At 42.4% G+C, this 15,836-nt stretch overlaps 3 annotated features.

Moving 5' to 3' along the window:
- Positions 10,810 to 10,879: an enhancer, noted in NCBI's record as "active region_7895". NCBI's record gives its function as "activates an Ori minimal core promoter by ATAC-STARR-seq in GM12878 lymphoblastoid cells {active_cell/tissue: GM12878}" and the evidence as "EXISTENCE:reporter gene assay evidence [ECO:0000049][PMID:35858748]".
- Positions 10,910 to 11,029: an enhancer, noted in NCBI's record as "active region_7896". NCBI's record gives its function as "activates an Ori minimal core promoter by ATAC-STARR-seq in GM12878 lymphoblastoid cells {active_cell/tissue: GM12878}" and the evidence as "EXISTENCE:reporter gene assay evidence [ECO:0000049][PMID:35858748]".
- Positions 11,050 to 11,149: an enhancer, noted in NCBI's record as "active region_7897". NCBI's record gives its function as "activates an Ori minimal core promoter by ATAC-STARR-seq in GM12878 lymphoblastoid cells {active_cell/tissue: GM12878}" and the evidence as "EXISTENCE:reporter gene assay evidence [ECO:0000049][PMID:35858748]".

The raw sequence follows: 15,836 nt of genomic DNA on the forward strand, positions 1-15,836 counted from the left end.
CGGAGTCTCACTCTGTTGCTCAGGCTGGGACTACAGGTGTGCGCCATCATACCAGGCTAATTTTTGTTTTGTTTTGTAGACAGAGTTTTGCTCTTGTTGCCCAGTCTGGAGTGCTGTAGGGCAATCTCAACTCACTGCAGCCTCCAGGGTTCAAGTGAGTTTCCTGCCTCAGCCTCCCAAGTAGCTGGCATTACAGGTGCTCGCCACCACGCTCAGCTAATTTTTGTATTTTTAGTAGAGACGGGGTTTCATCATGTTGGCCAGGCTGGTCTTGAACTCCTGACCTCAAGTGATTTGCCCACCTCAGCCTCCCAAAATGCTGGGATTACAGGCATGAACCACGGTGCCTAGCCAATAAATTATTAATCCAATAAAACTTTCAGATTTGCATTTTACTAATCAACAAAACCTGAAACAAAAGCCTGCAATGAAAAACCTGCAACAAAATCTGCATGTAGGTATAACAGACAAGGCTTGGATTTTCTGTCTATTTCACAATGACACTCATTAATCCACAATATAGTAGGGGCAGGCTTCTGGCAGCCACAGATCACCAGACCAAGAGAGGTCACCTAATTCAATTGAACTAATCAATTCCTTCATCAAGAATTTGAAATTGGTAGAAAGACAGAGGCGGATATTGATGGATGGGTTGATGGATTCGGTGTTTCTATGAACTAAACCTGAAAGATAAATTCAGAAATTGTGGGTGGTCATATTCAACAGCTCATCAGCACCATAATTCTTTGGAGGGGTCTATTATCCCCATGTTACAGATGGGAACACAGAGGCACGGAGAAATTTTGAGCCTTGAACTTGGACATCAGCTATTTCTCAATATGGCCTCCCATTCAGCGCGGCACTCTTGAAATGGGGCTGTCATTGCAAGTTTACCTGTCTGTCTTTCCATTAAGTTATGAGCTCTGTAAGATCTCGGACAGTATCCTGTTCAATGGCTGCCCAATGAATGTTGATTAAGTAAATAAATGAAATTATATTTTGTACTGTATGCAGTAGCAAAAAATAATATAAACAATTATTGACAAGAAACCTAACCAACTTGCTCAAGCATTGAAGAAATATGGTTAATATGCCTGAAAACTCAGATACTGTGTAGAGTTTAGCCTTCATTGTATGATTATTTGGAGAAGGAAAATGATCACTGTGTTTTGTGTCAGCTTAAACTAAGTGTGATTGATGATATAAAGCTACAACTGTTGTCTTTTAAGGCACTTCAAAGCAAAGTCAGGCTATAAGATGTTCTGGATATTATTATTCCAACACTGTCATTAACACTACTGCAAATGTAACTTCTAAGCTCATAAACTTTGTGTGTACCTGTCATTAAAGTCCTTGAGGAGCTATTACTTATCTATAGTTGGAAAATAAGAAGGGCTGTTAAGGTGAGATCCGAGAGGTCTGATTCAGTGATACTTTGGTCTTTGAGATTATTTTATAAGTAAATTTAATCTCCTTAAACACAGGTTTAAGTTATGTCCTATTTTAACACACTCATAATCCTAATGATTCTCAAAAGTTTGAGAATATAATTATTTCAGGACCTCAATTCCAACTCCATATGAAATATTGATCTTTAAAAGTCTGTCAGAATTGACAGCCTTCACAGCCTGAAAAGATAAATGAAAAAAATTATTTGATAAGGCCAGGGAGAAATTTCTTCCCTCGTATTACTGATAGATGTCCCAATCTGTCTTCAGATCAAGCAGACAAATTTCAAATTTATTCATAGAACACATTTCACACCTCCTCTGTGTCATAAGTTTAATATGTTTCCTACACCATATTGTATCAAAATGCATAACTGAAATTGGTTCTGTCATAAATTGTTACAAAATGAAATTCTGAAATCAGATTAGTACTTATTTAGGAACTGTGCATACTGAAAGAGGTTGAAAGATTTTCATTTATTGTTACAATTACTTTGCAAGGAAATAAGTTACTATCATACTATTTTTCAGTGTTAAAGTTCCTTCCTTTCAAAAAATTTTGCCAATGAGCAGTGGCTCACACCTCTAATCCCAGCACTTTGGGAGGCTGAGGCAGGCAGATCACTTGAGGCCAGGCGTTCAAGACCAGCCCGGCCAACATGGCAAAACCCTGTCTCTATTAAAAATACAAAATTAGCCAGGCATGATGGCGCATGACTGTAGTCCCAACTACTTGGGAGGCTGAGGCAGGAGAATCACTTGAACCCAGGAGGTGGAGGCTGCAGTGAGCTGACATTATGCCACTGCACTCCAGCCCGGGAAATAGAGCAAGACTCCATCTCAAAAAAAAAAAAAAAAAAGATTTTGATACCACCTCCACTCCCCTTTAAAAGCTCACTACGAGTTAACACAATGTATTTGGTCCATAATTCATTTGCTTTTTATTATTGGATCATGCTTTCAGTATTCTCTGAAGTTTAATTACAAAATTATTTCAATGCAATTCAGGATGTTGGCAAATGTGTCAAAATCATTTTCATTTGAAAACATACAGTATTGTTATTTTAAATGTACCACCTATATTATTTCCAAGACATTCAGTTCTTTGTATGTAGAGATGGCACTGCTGATCCCTTATCAGCGGGAAAATCACTACATTGTACTGCTAGCAGTGAAAACTATCTGTAGTTAGACATCCTTGCTTCCTCAAAAATCCTGCTTTTATTAGAGATGTTCAAGGAGCATAGCTTTCTCTCAGCAATGTTAACTGGACCGCGTAGTAACTAAATTAGTCCTGGAGGTCATGTTAATGCAATGCTAATCACCTAAGTTATCAAACTGAGACACTTTCCATTTTGGGCAGTACTCCCTCAGGTACAACCAACAGACACTCAGTTAAACTGGCTTAGTCAAAATAGAGAAATGATTGGCTCTTGAAACAATTATAAAGTCCAGGAGTATGACCAGCTTCAGACACAACAAATTCAGTGGCTCCCAACAGAACGCAGGACCTGGGACCTCACACTGTGTCTCTCTCCACTGAGCTTCTCTAGGCTGGCTTCATTTGCATATTATTCACAATATGGTACCCTTCAGGCTTACCTTGGCTAGTTTGCAACCCCAGTAGAAACAGTGTCTCCAGTTCCTGGGCAGGACACTTGCAAGGCCATCTTTCAATTAATTACTGTGTCCAGGAACAAGCAACAGTAATGCCCACCCCTAACTTCAGCACATGAGGTTCATCTTTCCTGAACCTCATGAATTGAGATGGGAAGAAGGGTTGTTTCCTCAAAGGAAAAATCTGCGAGCTGGTCCAGAAGAAAGGGGAATAGTGCCAGGCAGGCCAAAACAACAGATGCTGTTTTCCATGGATAGGCAGCCCTGTGAGACTCAGAGGAAGTTTTCCCTTCCTGAAACCTTCAGTGACCTCCAAAATGAAACATAACAAGGTTCCCCAGCAGCAGAAAGAGCACTTGGCTTCCTGCGTGAGGTCAAGGGGTCTCACTCCAGTCCTGCCATTACTTAGGAATGACTTTGAGCTGACTGTTCCAGACCTATTTCCTCACCATTTTAAAAAGCTCTCTGGACCAGTCCCCACCCAGAAGAGTCTTCAACAGTGATCCTCTGCCTGAAATGCCCGGCCTAAGGTTTTCCAGACTTAATGCACACAGAATCCACTGATTTATCCCCCGAAAACTCATCGAGATGGCTCTCAGACCCAAGCTCAACATACGTCCCAGCCCCATTCTCTCTCTCACTCTCTCACACATATACACAAGCACAGCCTACACCTGTTCCTCCTTCTCCTTTTGTGTTTCATACCACAGAACCACAGTAGGTGACCTCACATCCTAGCCAAAGCCAGGAGCCAGAAATTTTCTAAAATAACCACCAGATGTCAGCCTACACATATGTCCCCTTCCCTCAAAAAGACTCTCAGGTCTAAGGTCTACCTGGACCCAGGGAATCTCACCCTAGAGTCCGTGGGTGGGTTCCATTCAGATCCATGGGCCTCCTGAAATGATATATCAAGTTGTGTGGATGTGCACATGGGTGCATGTATTGGACATTTTCCCAAAAATAAACTTTTTAGTTCTTATCAAAATTTAAAAGAATATCCATCCCTGTGTCTCCCTTTAAAAAAACCTCAAGAACCACCATTTAGCCCAGCACTAAAATGTCCCATGCCTCTCCTCACTTCGCTAATGATGCGCAAACACTCAGCACCTTCAGGTGGCTTTTAAACATGGCCTCAAATTCTCCAATACCCTCCCTGATGAGAGCTGGGGTCTACAGTCCGTGTTCTAGAATCTGGGTGGATGTGTGACTGTAGAAGCCAGAAAAGAACAGGGAACGGGACCCTGGGTAGCTTAGGAGTCCGGCCAGCTTACAAAGCCATGCAGCTTCCACCTGGTCACCACAACAGTATCATCTTTGGGAGCCCTGAGCTACCGGTATGAACTCTAACTACCTGCAGCCTCCATGCTTGAGAGGCTATGGTGGGTCAACAGTCCCCATGGAGCCCAGCCTCCCAGCCATTGCCATCATCACTAGGCATGTGAGTGAAGCCACCCTGGCCCCTCCAGACCAGCCCCTCTGGCTGCTGATCATTACTGAGGGACCCTGTCAACAACCATGTGGAGAAAATAATCATCTAGATGAGCCCTGCCCAAATCTGTGACTCACAGAATCATGAGATAGAATAAAACGGTTGTTGATAAAGCCATTAGTGTTAATGTGGCTTGTTATATTGCAGTAGATGACCAGAACGTCCCCAGACCTCTTCCCCAGTTCAAATGCCATGTGGCTGCCTAGAAAAGATAGGTGGATGAGGCAACCTTGTTGAACTAAAGATTTCAAGATGATCTGTGGCAGTAAGTGAAGTGCCCAGGGTAGGAGCTGGGGCTAAACATGCAAGTTCCTGCCCAGCAATTAAAAACAACTGGAGGCTTCTTAGAACTCAGCTCTGGCCAGGCGCGGTGTCACGCCTGTAATCCCAGCACTTTGGGAGGCCAAAGTAGGTGGATCACAAGGTCAGGAGTTCGAGACCAGCCTGACCAACATGGTGAAGGCCTGTCTCTACTAAAAATACAAAAATTAGCCGGGCGTGGTGGTGCACACCTGTAATCCCAGCTACTCAGGAGGCTGAGGCAGGAAAATCGCTTAAACCTGGGAGGCAGAGGTTGCAGTGAGCCAAGATCATGCCACTGCACTCCAGCTTGGGTGACAGAGCGAAACTCCGTCTCAAAAAAAAAAAAAAAAGAACTCAGCTCTCTGTAGGGGATAGATCATGTCCAGAGAGAAAAAGAAAGCAGCCTCGGTCCAAATCAGGGCACATGCAGATCAGCAGGGTATTGAAACCAGTCAGATACGGCTTAGTTTCTGAATATCTAAATGATAATCCTAATGAATTATCTTGAGCACTGTGACAGGCAGAATAATGATCTTCCCAAAGATGTCCACATCCTAATCCCCAGAACCTGGAAATATGTCAGGTAACATGGCATTAGTCCATTTTCACATTGCTATAAAGATACTACCCAAGACTGGGTAATTTATAAAGGAAAGAGGTTCAATTGACTCACAGTTCCACAGGGCTGGGGAGGCCTCAGGAAACTTACAATCATGGCAAAAGGCGAAGGGGAAGCAAGGCATCTTCTTCACAGGGTGGCAGGAGAGAGCAGTGCAAACAGGGGAAATGCCAGACACTTATAAAACCATCAGATCTCCTGAGCACTCACTCACTATCACGAGAACAGCATGGGCGAAACCACCCCCCCATGATGCAATCACCTCCCTCCCTCCACACGTGGGGATTACAGTTGGAGATGAGATTTGGCTGGGGAGACAGAGCTAAACCATATCACATGGTAAACGAGAATTAAGTTGCAGCTGGAAGTAAGGTTGCTAATCAGCTCACTTTAAAGTAGATTATCCTAAATTATCTGAGTGAGCCCAATGTAATCCATTTACAAGCAGACAAGGAAGCAGCAGAGAGTCAGAGGAGGATGTGACCAGAGAAGAAAGTCAGAGAGAGGTGATGTTGCTGGCTGTGAAGATGGAGGAGGGGCCACAAACCAAGGAGAGTGAGCAGCCTCTAGAAGCTGGAAAAGGCAAGGAAACTGATTCACTTCTGGACTTTCCAGAAGAGAACACAGCCCTGCCAACACATGAATTTGAGCCAAGTGAAGACTTCTAACTAAGCCAAGCGTGAGACTTCTAAATTACAGAAATATAAGGCAATAAATTTGTGTTGTTTCAAGCAACTGTGTAATAATTTGTTACAGCAGCAATAGAAATTATTACAAGCAACTACTATGTTATAGATGTTATATTAGGAGCAAAGAATCTATGAGTATACTGCCTTATTGAGTCCTTGCAAAGAAGTATTGCTATCACTGCTTTTTAGATGCCAAACCAAGGTTCAGAGCAGATAAGCAATGGACGAAAAGTCCTGTATTAGTCCGTTCTCCCATTGCTATAAAGAAATACCTGAGACTGGGTAATTTATAAAGAAAAGAGGTTTAATTGGCTCATGGTCTGCAGGCTGTACAGGAAGCATGGCAGCACCTGCTTCTAGGGAAGCCTCAGGGAGCTTTTGCTCATGGTAGAAGGCACAGTGGAGGCAAGCGTCTTACCTGACAAGAGCAGGACCAAGACAGCGGGGAAGGTGTTATGTACTTTGAAAAACCAGATCTCGTGATAATTTACTGCCTCACTGTCATGAGAACAGCACTGGGGGGATGGTGCTAAACCATGAGAAACTGCCCCTGTGCCTCCAAAGCACTGAGCACCAGCAAATATTTAATGCTTAACAGACTGCCTGACTCATACTTGAATACTTGAAGAATCAAAGATGCATGGATGGATGGATGGGTGGGTGAAGGGGTAGATGAGTGGGTGGGTAGATGGGTGAATGGGTGGGTGTATGGATGGATGGATGGATGGATAGATGGTTGGTTGTGTGGATGGTTAGATGATTGGATGGAAAAATGGGTGGTTGGATGGATGGTTAGATTAATGGCTGGGTAGATGGAAGGATCAATAAATGCGTGGAAGTGTGGATGGGTGGATGGGTGGATGGATGGATGGATGGATGGATAGATGGATGGATGGATAGATGGTTGGGTACATGGATGGTTAGATGGTTGGATGGAAAAATGGGTGGATGGATAGATGGTTAGATGAATGGTTGGGTGGATGGGAGGATCGATTAATGAGTGGATGAATGGGTGGGTGGATAGATGGATGAGTGGATGGGATGCATAGATGGGTGGGTAGGTGGATACATGGTTTGATGGAAAAATGGGTGGGTGGGTGGGTAGATGAATGGATAGATGGGTGGGTAGATTGTTGGATGGATGCATAGGTGAATGGACGTGAGGGTAGGTAAGTAGATGGATGGGTGGATGGATGGATGGATGGATGGATGGACTGGTGGGTGGATGAGTGGGTGGATGGGTGAATGGGTGGAAAAATGAATGGGCAGTATAGTAGCCATTCAGAGACTGCTAAAGTGCTGGAAAGTTGACACAGAGCTACGTAACAGTCTTATTTGATATTTACTAATAATACAGTTCCATGGAGAAAAACATCAGCTTATTTGACTTAAATATGACATGTATTTGCAAATCTCATGAAGAGAAACTCACACTGCTTTTCAAAAAATGGTCCTGCCCTGCAGTGGTGCTGACATCAAGCAGTGTCCCAGAGAGGGGAGGAAGCAGACACTGGCCAGAGATCCATTATAAGGGCTCTTGGCTCATTAACTTTCTACTTCCATCAGTGGCCTTGTCACCTCAGTTAACCTTCTTTCCATCTCATTTCACTCCCCCTTCTCCCAGAAATCCATGATACTTCCATTTTCTCTTCCATTAGGGCACAATTAGGAAGGTGCTTGGCATGTAAGGAAGGCCCAATAGATATTTGGCAGTGTTTATTAATGAATCCCACTGTTCTTCTGACACATCTATCCCCTCTAGTCCTTCACCCACGCAGCTACCAAAAATATCAAAACAGCATGAGATGTCATATTTTAATGTGTAACACAAATGAAATGTGGCCTGCTTGCTACTGATTTAAGGTCTAGCTTAGTCCTGTGACTCATTGCAAGTCAAACAACAAAAATCCTTGAAGAGTAAATAGCAAAATTTCCTAAAAATTTCCATTAGACTCTCTCTCCCTAAAGACCCTAATCGTTGCTTTCTTTCTCCAAAAACAAGACAAGGGTGGGGCTTTCTGAACTGGCTCCGGACACCCTCCCTCCTGCTCATCCAGACTTTTCTCTCCTCTTGCTCACTTCCTGCCATTTCACATGCAATCGAATTTCAACTTCCCAAATATATTGTGAGTTCCCCAGATCTTCTCACTCCTTTTCCATGATCAGTGCAATTAAGACATAGAAATCAGAAGGTCGACATGTGAAAAAAAATGCTCAACACCATTAATTGTCAGGAAAATGCAAGTTAAAACCACAATGAGGTATTACCCCACACCTGTCAGTATGGCTGTTATAAAAAAAAAAAATGATAACAGGTGTTGGCAAGGATGTAGAGAAGAGGGAACCCTTGTACATTATTGGTGGGAACATAAATAGGTAAAGCCAGTACGGAAAACAATATGGAGGTTCCTCAAAAATTAAAAATAGAACTAGCATATGATCCAGCAGTCCCACTACTGGCTATATATACAAAAGATATGAAATCAGCATGTCAAAGAGTTATCTACATGCCTGTGTTTACTGCAGCATTACTCACAATAGCCAAAATAGGAAATCAACCTAAGTGTCCAGCAACAGATGAGTGGATAAAGAAAATATGGTGTAAATACACAATGGAATACTATTCAGCCACTAAAAAAAGGAAACCTTGTGTTTGCAACAACATGGATGAGCCTAGAGGACATAATATAATGTTAAATGAAATAAGCCAGGCACAGAAAGACAAACACCACATGATCTCACTTACATGTGGAGTGTTAAATGTCAAATCATATAGAAACAGAGAGTAAAATGGTGGCTACAGGGAAAGAGGAAGTAGAAACGGGAAGATGTTGGTTAAAGAGTATCAAGCTTTGGTTAGACCACAGGAATAAATTCTGGAGAGCTATTTTACAGCCTGGTGACTATAGTTAACAAATGTTAATAATAGCAATGTATGCTTGAAAATTGTGGCCCAGGTGCAGTGGCTCATATCTGTAATCCCAGCACTTTGGGAGGCCGAGGCAGGTGGATCACCTGAGGTCAGGAGTTCGAGACCATCCTGGCCAACATGGTGAAACCCCATCTCCACTAAAAATAGGAAAACTAGCCAGGAATGGTGGCAGGCACCTGTAGTCCCAGCTACTCGGGAGGCTGAGGCAGGAGAATTGTTTGAACCTGGGAGGCGGAGGTTGCAGTGAACCAAGATCGCGCCACTGCCCTCCAGCCTGGATGACAGAGGAGACTCCATCTCAAAAAAAAAAAAAAAAAGGCTAAAAGATTAGCTCTTAAATGCTCTCAACACAAAAGCGTGATAAGAATGTGAGGAGATGGATACGTTAATTAGTTTGATTTAGTCATTTCACAATGTATACCTATATCAAAACATTGAATGTTATACCATAAACATATACAATTTTCACTTGTCAATTATACCTTAATAAATCTGGAAAAAATTAAAATTTAGAAAAGAATATCTCACAATTATAATATTCTTTTAGATATGCTTTTCTGGAATCATTTCCTTTGTATGTTACGGATTAATGTATAATATATGAACATTACAGCAAGGTAATTCAATCTTTGCCTTCCGATCTTTGTGCTGTTGTTATCAATAATTTTATTTCCACATATGTTAGACATGGTTACTATCTTTGCTTTAATCAGTCAAATATATTTTAATAAAAGTTTAAGATGAGAAATAAAAACTAAAATAAAATAGAAGCCAGGGAAAGTCTTGGAATAATTGTTTTTAGTATCTGTCACATGTGATTTGTTGCAGTTAGATTTCATCAAAATGCATTGGCTTTATTTGGAGAAGGCCATGGCAATGTTGGAGCCCAAGCAGCATAGATAATGTGCGTATATTTGGCACTAGGGGGCGATATAGCATTGCTTTCAGCCCTTCACTGTCAGCGCACACGCAAAATAAATGAATTCCCGCTAAGGAAAATCATTCCCAACTTTTCTTCTGCATCTCAAGTCATTGGCTCTTACGTCACTTGGCAAAGCACTCTGAACAGCAGGCCTCGAAGGTCCATTCTTTAAGTTACTGATTTATCGATTTTGTTTGCTGGTGTTTTCACTTAATCCTTGGTTTGCTTTCACTGAGCTCTGAGAGTTTTTTTAAATTGGTCAGTCTTGCTAGAATTCCAAACATACAAACAAAAAAAAACTCTACTGTTTACAGTAATCTACCATGGATCTAGTGGTTGTCTGGATTCTGGCACAGGGACTGGCTCTGGGGGGCAGCTGAATTCTGATGGAAGAAAGCACTAATGCTAATGTGGAAGGCCTGCGCTTGGCTGAGTCCCAAAGGAAGCAATTCCAGGCCCTGACCCCAGGCTGGGCCCCTGTTTCTCGGTCACAAGGGAGGCCAGCTAAGACTTGTGCAACCCGGCTCGAAGGATGTCGAAGCACCCTCAATTTCATATGCAAATGAGAGCCAGTCCAAAAAAGGATTGCAGGGTTTCCCAGAAGGTCCAGCTCCTTGGAGGATTATGAAGCCGCCAGCTGATTTCACATTCCACCTGATTTACAGCATTAACTGCAGATTTTTTTTTAAATATCTAATACGATATGATGCCTACGTGTATCAAGATGGCTCTAAGGAGCTTTAATTTGCATTGGGTTTTTTGGTTTTGCTCAGTCATAGCATGTTCTAGGAGCTACTTGTATCAATATCAAGAGGGTAAGTCCCACCAGCACTCTCAGGAGGAGGCCTTCCTGTAGGTATTCAGGCCCTTGGAAGAAGGGCTGTTGGCCCTAGAATTTACCAAAGGGGCAGAACTCAGGCCCTCTGTATTCTGACGGTGAAGTTTGTGGTTCCCCAAGGAGGAGGAAGAGATGACACAGGTGCTCCCCAGGTGTCTCTTGCCTCCTGGAATGGCCGCCAGAAGAAGTGAAACAGCTGAGCTATGAAAGCTGTAAACTCAGGAGCACAAGGAGGGCAGGGGCTGGGTCCTCCCTCAGAGAACCACAGTAATGAGCACAGAACTCAGTCTGCACCAGGTCAGCATCTCTGTCAGATGGTGCTGGACCAGGCGTCCTCCCTACCAGGGCCACCACTTGGGATGTTGGACGTGAGGCTCACAGAAGCAAGTAGGAGCTGAGATCTTGCCCAGATTTCCTGTGCCACACAAAGAGTCCACAGGGCTGTGCATGCCCAGACGGGCATTCCTCCCTAACTTCTGGAAAGTCCCTGGGGGACTTAGAGGTGGCTCTGACATTGACACGGTGTGGCAAGGAGGAGCTGTGGCAACGGCGAACTGATTAAACTTTGGCTTCACCACCCAACTCCCTACCACCTCCCACCTTAGACACTATAACCCTCAAGTTTTTAAACAACTGGGGGAGCAGGTAGCCCTAAGAAGGAGATACCAGCCTTTCTGCTAGTCAAGAATGACTTCGGAGCTGGGTGTGGTGGTGTGGCCTGTAACCCCAGCCACTTGTGAGGCTAAGGCAGGAAGATTGCTCAAGCCTGGGCATTCGAGGCCAACCTGGGCAACATAGACAGACCTCGCCTCTAAAAAAAATTTTAATAATGATCTTGGGTTAGTTTTCATTTTTTAAGAGATGATGAGACCACGTGTGTGCTGCAAGTTTGTGAAATAACGCATCAATAGCGCTCAGAGTAACACTCAGACGGCAAAGAACTTATCATAATGCCTTTTTTAATGCCAAAATGAGTCTTAGAGAGATTAAGTGACTGTTGCACAGATAATAAATGAAAGAAATGTGAGTACCCAGTTTCTCTCCCCAGTACTCTAATTGATAGATTTTGGAGCAATAGTCCTGCTTTAATAATTAATTCATATTGCTGCATGGATGAGCTATGGGATATTATAGCCAATTCTACCATAAAATATATCATTAAAAAATTTTTTGCAAACTAATTCTTAATTTGGCTAGCTGAGACCTTGGACTAATTCCTGGAACCAAACCCTCTCATTTCTACATCTGCATGGTGACAGGATTGACAGGCGATTTCCAAGGGCCCTTTCAACTGCAGAATTCCCATAGTCTGAGCAAAAATAAGCATTGACTATACAACAGAAATTAAAATAGCTTTACAACAACACTGCCAGGAATTATTCTCCAGATCGTGCAGATGAGAAAACCAAGGCTTTGAGAGATGAAGCCTCTTGGACAGGATCACTCAGCTGGTCAGTAGAGAGGCAGGATCATGAGCATGTGGCTGCGAAGCCCACACTCCATTGACACCCTACATGACCTGCATCAAACAAAATACTCTTCCCTTGGTTTCCCCGCCAATGTTACACACTATGATTCGGTCCGACATACTCTGGGAGAACTCACCACCAGTAGGAGTATGTTCAAACATGGTCACTCAAGGAATGGGGAGTTTGGTGGGGAATTGAGAGTACAGACGATGTGTACAGTGAGAGGCATTATTTGACCAGCAGGCCTGGAAGGAGGAAGGGCTGCCATGGAATCAGGGGATTCAGTCCCCTGGAAGGTTCTGAAAGGCAGCTCAGAGCAGAGGCAGTAAACTAGTGGCCTGCAAGCCATATGTGGCCACAGCTGTGTTTTTGGTGAGCAAAGCACATTTTTAAATTGAATGAGTTGCCAACATTTTTAGATTTTTTTTTTAATCCAGATTTGTAACCCAGGCGGTGCTGGAACTTAACAACAATAAGCTGGAGTAGAGGAGCCCCATCCCCCTGGAGCTCTGCATCTCTAAAGTCACCATCCTGTCTAGTTTTATTAATTTAAGTTAGCTGCCTCTTCAACCACTCCCCATAGGCAGTTGAGGTTAAGACCCTTGTTCTGGAGGCATTGAATTGGCGGGGAAGAGAGCAGCTGTAGCAAGTGGCGGGGGGTGGGGGGTAAATGTCAGAAAGGACCAAAGGATGCTGCTGAAGACAACTTCCCATAATTCAAAATTTTGCAAATGAAGACTGGCCAGATTCTGTGCAATTAAGAACCTGGCCCAGTCCAGGGAAGGGCGCCAGCCTGGCGTAAAGAAGTTTTGAACGTGATCCCGATGCGAGTGCTCACAGCAATGAGAATTAGCTCCAGAACCTCCCCTTCCGCTTCACCTGCTCATAGGTTGTTCTGCTCTCTGATATCCTATTCCCAATCCTTGCTTAATGTGTAGATTCTATCCTGCCCCATTCCTCCAACAAGACTCTCTAAAGTCCCAGTCTTGGGACTCATTCTTGGGTTCTAGCGTTCACTTCTTTTGTCTTGGAGTCTGGTGCCCTGGTTGTGTAAGTCACAGTACTGTGTCACTTTTAAAATTTCTCTGGATTGCAAATAGTTTGTTGGGTAAAGATTGTTGTCTGTCTCATTATTGCATTCTGAGGGGGAAGGGGGAATATCCCCTGAGGATTCAGAACCAACACTTGGACCTTACTCAAGCCCAATTATATATATGTATACGCGTATATGTGTGTATATATATGTTAGAGTATATATATACATATATAAACACACCTGTATACTCTAGATACCTTTAATCCAAGAAATTCAACAAATTAATAGAAAAGCTAGCCCCAATCTTATGATACCTCTGAGGCTCCAGGAAGAAGTATACATAAAACCTTTCCAAAGAGCATATCCCCCAACAAGACCGCACTGCAGTCCTAGATGTAAAATCCCACTGGAAAATCAGCTCTCAATTCAAGATTATAAAATTCACAAGAAAAAAAATGCACCAAGAACAAAAGTCTGCATATACAACAAATATCAAGATTAGATCCTCTAAAGTTTCATTTAACAGAGCCATCTGAGTATAAATAAATATGTTTAAGATTAATTTTAAAAATAGAATTAAAAAATTAAACACATAGATAAACATTCTGAAAAAAGAGCAAGTATATTTTAAGGGGGTCAAATAGAACTTTTAAATTTGTGAAAAAAGATTGTCATTGAAATAAAAAATTCAATTGATGGATTAAGCCACAAATTTGAGGTAGCTGAGTAGAAACCCAGTGAACATGAAGGAAGAGCTGAGGAATTTACACAGCATGAAGCACAGAGAATTAAAAGACAGAAAATACGAAAGAGAAGTTAAGCGATATGGAGGATAGGAAAGAAGGTCCAACATGCTTCTAATGAAAGTTCTAGCTGGAATGCATACAATGGAATACTATACTGCAATAAGAATGAACAAATTACAATACATACAGCATGGATGAATTTCACGAACATAATGTGGAGTGAAAGAGAATTAGAGTATGGCTTCATTTTTACACATTTGAAAAGCGGGTCACACTAATCTATGGTGAAAGAAGTGAAGATAGTGTTTACCCTTGATAAGAGGCAGACAGTGACCCAAAGGGGGCCTAAGGAGGCTTTGGGGGTGCTGGGGCTGTTCTGTTCCTGGGTCTTGGTGCTGGTTAAACAGGGATTTCTGTTTGTGAATATTCATCAGACTGAACACCTCTAATTTTTGTACTTTTTAATGTATTTTATGCTTCAATAAAACTTTCACTGAAGAGTAAAAAAGTTTGAGATAGAAAAGAGAAAACAGGACAGGGCTGAGAATGGGGGCTCACGCCTGTAATCCCAGCACTTTAGGAGGCCACAGCAGACAGATCACCTGAGGTCAGGAGCTTGAGACCAGCCTGATCAACATGGTGAAACCTCATCTCTGCTAAAACTACCAGCCTGACCAACATGGTGAAACCTCTTCTCTACTAAAAATACAAAAATTAGCCAGGCATGGTGGTGCATGCCTGTAATCCCAGCTACTTGGGAGGCTGAGGCAGGAGAATCTCTTGAACCCAGGAGGCAGAGGTTGCACTGAGCCAAGATGGCACCATTGCACTCCAGCCTGTGCAACAAGAGCAAAACTCCATCTCAAAAAAAAAAAAAAAAAAAAAAAGGAAAGAAAACAGGACAAAAACAACATTCTAAGACATAAGGCTGAGATTTTTCTGGAAATGACAAAATGCATGATTCTGTAGACTCAGGACAACAATGAATCTTTTGGAAAATAAATTAAAATAAATCCACATCTAGACATAGTGTGGTTTAACTGCAGCAAACAACAGAGCTTTAATGCCATCAGAAAAAAAAATGAATGAATGAAATATCATCTACAAAGAAATATCATCTACAAAGAAATCACAATAAGATTAATTTCAGACTGTCCAGGTGCAGTGGCTCCTACCCAGCACTTTGGGAGGTCAAGGTGGGAGGATCACTTGAGTCCAGGAGTTCAAGACAAGCCTGGGCAACATGGTGAAACACCATCTCTACAAAAATTGAAAAATTAAAAAAAAAAAATAGCCAGGTGTGATGGAACAAACCTGTGGTCCAGCTACTCAGGAGGCTGAGGTGAAAGGATCCCTTGAGTCCAGGAATTCAAGGCTGCAGTGAGCTATGATCATGCCACTACACTCCAGCCTGAGCGACAGAGCAAGACCCTCTCTTGGGGAAAAAAAAAATTAAAGATTAATTTCACACTTCACAACAGTAGCAAAAGAAACTAGAAGACTCTGAAATAATATTTTCAAAGTGCTTAAAGAAAATAATTGTCAATCTGGAATTCTGATCCAACTAAAATGTCATAAAAGAATGGAGACATAATAAAGACATTTGCAAACAAATCAAGACTAGATATACTTGAGGTAGAGGAAAATTGAACCCAAAAGTAAAGAGTAAGCTATAGGAAGCAATGTTGAGCAAAATATTGGGTAAACAAATAAGTAAATCTAAAC

This window comes from Homo sapiens, chromosome 13 (genome assembly GCF_000001405.40).
Source record: "Homo sapiens chromosome 13, GRCh38.p14 Primary Assembly".
Classification (NCBI taxonomy): domain Eukaryota; kingdom Metazoa; phylum Chordata; class Mammalia; order Primates; family Hominidae; genus Homo; species Homo sapiens.